Source organism: Homo sapiens, chromosome 4, assembly GCF_000001405.40.
Source record: "Homo sapiens chromosome 4, GRCh38.p14 Primary Assembly".
NCBI lineage: Eukaryota > Metazoa > Chordata > Mammalia > Primates > Hominidae > Homo > Homo sapiens.
Genome location: NC_000004.12, coordinates 62,530,852 through 62,534,580, shown reverse-complemented (window position 1 = coordinate 62,534,580; position 3,729 = coordinate 62,530,852). Strand labels below are relative to the sequence as shown.

The window sequence follows — 3,729 nt, the reverse complement described above, 5'->3', positions numbered from 1 at the left end:
CCTACATCTGTATCTCCAAACTGGATATCCCTTAAACTCAGGCTCACCCTTCCTATATGATATCTCCATTCAGATGTCTACTAGAGCAGCAGTCCCTAAACTTTTTTGCACCAGGGACCAGTTTCATGGAAGACAATTTTTCCATGAACTGGGTTGGGGCAGTTGGTGGAAGGGTATGGTTTTGGGATGAAACTGTTCCACCTCAGATCATCAGGCATTAGATTCTTACAAGGAGTGTGCAGCCTAGATCCTTCACATGCACCATTCACAATAGGGTTCACACTCCTACGAGAATCTAATGCCACTGCTGATCTGACAGGAAGCAGAGCTCAGGAAGTAACGTTTACTCGCCTCTCACCTCCTGCTGTGCAGCCCAGTTCCTAACAGGCCATGGGGACCAGTAGTGGTTGGGGACCCCTGTACTAGAGACTTTAAGCTTACTGTGTGCCAAACTAAATTCCTAAGTTTCAACCACAAACCCTGTTGTGAAGGATTTTTAGTAACTAAGATAAAAAATTTGGGAGATAACCTTGATGCCTCTATTTCTCCACATCAACATATCTTTTCTCTTACCTTTAAAATATGTATCTAATCCTATCACTTACATCTCTTGGACTTCTATAACTGTAGTCCAACCTAGCTTAATCTTTCCTAAATTATTGCAATAGACTTCTGTTTTCACTGCTGATATCCTTAATCTGTTTAGTCTTCTCTCTGCACCACATAAAGTGATTATTTTAAAATATATGTTGTGCAATTCCTATACACCCTTCAGTGATTTTCTGTCATAATCAAAGTAAAGTTCAAAGTCCTTGCTGTGCATTACAAGGCACTGTAAGATTGAGCTTCCTGCCATCCCACTAACCTCACAGCTATCCAACAGTGTAGAAGTTTTCTTTTGTTTCATTTAAAGCCTTTAATATTTTGCCCAGGGTTCTCACTCTTAATACTGGGTACAGTAGGGATTTTGAGGCTTGACTCCTCTAAGTCACATAAAAGAAGCATTTTTTTCACTCCTAGCAAAAGATCAAATATACCTCACTGGGAAAAATAACATTATCAAGCATGGTCTACAACAAGCATGATCTAGAACCACAAGCATGATCCTATTGATCCATAAACATTTAACCTGGAACATAAGCGTCAGCCCAAGATCCTGGTTGTTGTTATTATTATTGCTATATCAAATATATTTTTCGGCCGGGCACATTGACTCACACCTATAATACCAGCACTTTGAGAGGCCAAGGCAGGCAGATCACTTGAGCCCAGGAGTTTGGGATCAGCCTAGGCAACATTGTGAAACCCATCTCTAAACAAAAATGCAAAAATTAGGTAGGCATGATGGCTGGTGTTATTAGTCCCAGCTACTCAGGAGGCTGAGGTGGGAAAAACGATTGAGCCTGGGAGGTCAAGGTTACAGTGAGCCATGATTGTGCCACTGCACTCCAGCCTGGGAAACAGAATAAGACCCTGTCTCTAAAAACATTTTAAAAATTTATTTATATATATATATACATATATATATATACACACACACACACACCGACAGACACATATACATACGTATTTATATATCATATATAAATATATATAAATTTATATATTTTATATATACATATATAAAAATTTTACGTATATTTTTGTATATTTTACAAAATATTTTATATATTTATATAAAATATATCTATAAATATACATATCTGCTATTATTGCTTATATCAAAACAGATTTTTTTTAACCTCGACCTCTCATCCTCTTTCAGCTACCAATATACTTACCGGTTTTACCTTATGTACTCTCATTTTTTTTTTTCAAAATACCTTTATCTCCTTACCTCCACTTTTGGAAGAAGATAACATGCCTTTTTGGATGCCCTATTTCTACTCAAGGATAATTCCTCCACCTTCCTTCTTATCTCTTTAAACTACATTTGCCTATCAATTAGCCCTTTTTTATATTTGTGTTGGGTCTCTCTCATTCTGCTTGCTTTTTTGAACTCTTAAACATCAGCAAAATTAGTCCATTGTGAAAAACAAAAACGAAGCACAATTCTTTTGACTCTATTTCCCCTACAGCTTTACTTTGCTTTTTCTTTTCACTACCAAGGTCCTTGAACAAATATTGGGTCTTCTTTTCCTTATATTACATTCACTTATCTATCCATTGTTAGTTGTCTTTGCTAACACACTCAACCTAAATTGCTTTAGAAAAAGGTTACCTATGATACCCTTATTGCTTAATGCAACAAAAAATCTTTCTTTCCTCCCTTCCTTCCTTCCTTCCTTCCTTCCATCCTTCCTTCCATCCTTCCTTCCATCCTTCCTTCGTTTCTTTTTTGGCAAGACCTATCACTAGTGCCTGGTAATACAGTGTCATATCATTTGATTTTATGTTGCATCCAATGCAAACCCACAAACTCTGTGAAGTTGTTTCCAGAATTGACAGGTATTCTGTCTAGCCAAAGGGTCGGCATAATGTTTGGCAAGAATCAATGGCTCTAAAGTTGAAGAACCTAGTCAATTTTAGATCATTCATCAACACACTTTGGAGCAATTACATCCTAATGGCCACAGACCAAAGTGATTTGTTGTAGTTAGAAAATACATGCCAACACACAGTGGTGCTTCTGAGACCTCCAGGGGGCACTGAGAGGGTTCTTGGAGGGTAAAAAGTTGGTTGTCATGGAAACAAGATAGGTCCTCAGGAACAGAGAGAGCTTTTGAAGAAGGCTTCTGTTTTTCCTATGTCTGTGTTAAAGGGAGAGAAACCCATATTCCAGATAGCTCTGGAGGATTTTCATAGAAACAAAGTCCCAGGCAGAAACCAAAGTTTTTTTAAAAAAGAAAAAGCACAGATAAACTTCCTCTATAGAACTTAAATTCCACCAAATGAATTTACAAACAAAACAATATTAAAAATTATAAATTTTCTCCAAACTGTACCTGGTACCACCTGCTCCATCAGACAGGCATTGTAGGAGAGAGAGGCAGCATTAAGTGTTCTTTGAGCAGCCACCTGGAGTGTGGGCACACTTTGCCTTCTTGCTCCAGCCTGTCTGTCCCATCTTCTCACCAGCTGTTTGCCATCAGAAATCAGTTGCTGAAGCCAAACTCAGCTATTCAGCACACATTCCTAGTTCTTTGTTGTTCCTAGAAGGCTGCCCCCGTCCTGCAGTGCTCTCTCCACCTCCTCTCTGTTTGGGAATGTTTTCTCCATTCTTTGAGGATCCAAACAAGTCTTTTAATTTCCTAGAAGACTTCTCCAACTACAACTGCTTTTGCTAACATCTTTAAACCCTTAAAACTATGGTAGCCTCTAAGTACTATCTTGCACTTAGTGTTTTTTTGTTTTGTTTTGTTTTGTTTTAACCTATACTACTATACTACCTCATTAGAGTTAATTTCCTTAAAGGACCAAACTGGCTCACAATCTCCACTTAAGTCCATACCACAGACAGTCCATGCTTATGAAAGACAGAAGAATAAAACAGTAATTGTGAATTAATAATAATAAATATGATATAGTACAATCATTCTTTTTGGTGGAAATTTCTGTTTTTATTAGTAATTGTCAAACATGTGTCATGAGTGTTTAAGATTTACTTCTGACTCCTGTGGTCTATTCAAGATTCATATATGCTGTATCTTCACCTTCATGTGAACATTTTTTTACCTGTGGCCTCATTTTATTTTTTTATAATAATCTGAATGTGGTTAACCAAAAACA

At 37.4% G+C, this 3,729-nt stretch overlaps 1 annotated feature.

The window, feature by feature from the left end:
- Window positions 2,850-3,351: an enhancer, noted in NCBI's record as "NANOG hESC enhancer chr4:63396948-63397449 (GRCh37/hg19 assembly coordinates)". NCBI's record gives its function as "activates a minimal SCP1, AML or CMV promoter by ChIP-STARR-seq in naive H9 embryonic stem cells {active_cell/tissue: H9 hESC(naive)}" and the evidence as "EXISTENCE:reporter gene assay evidence [ECO:0000049][PMID:30033119]".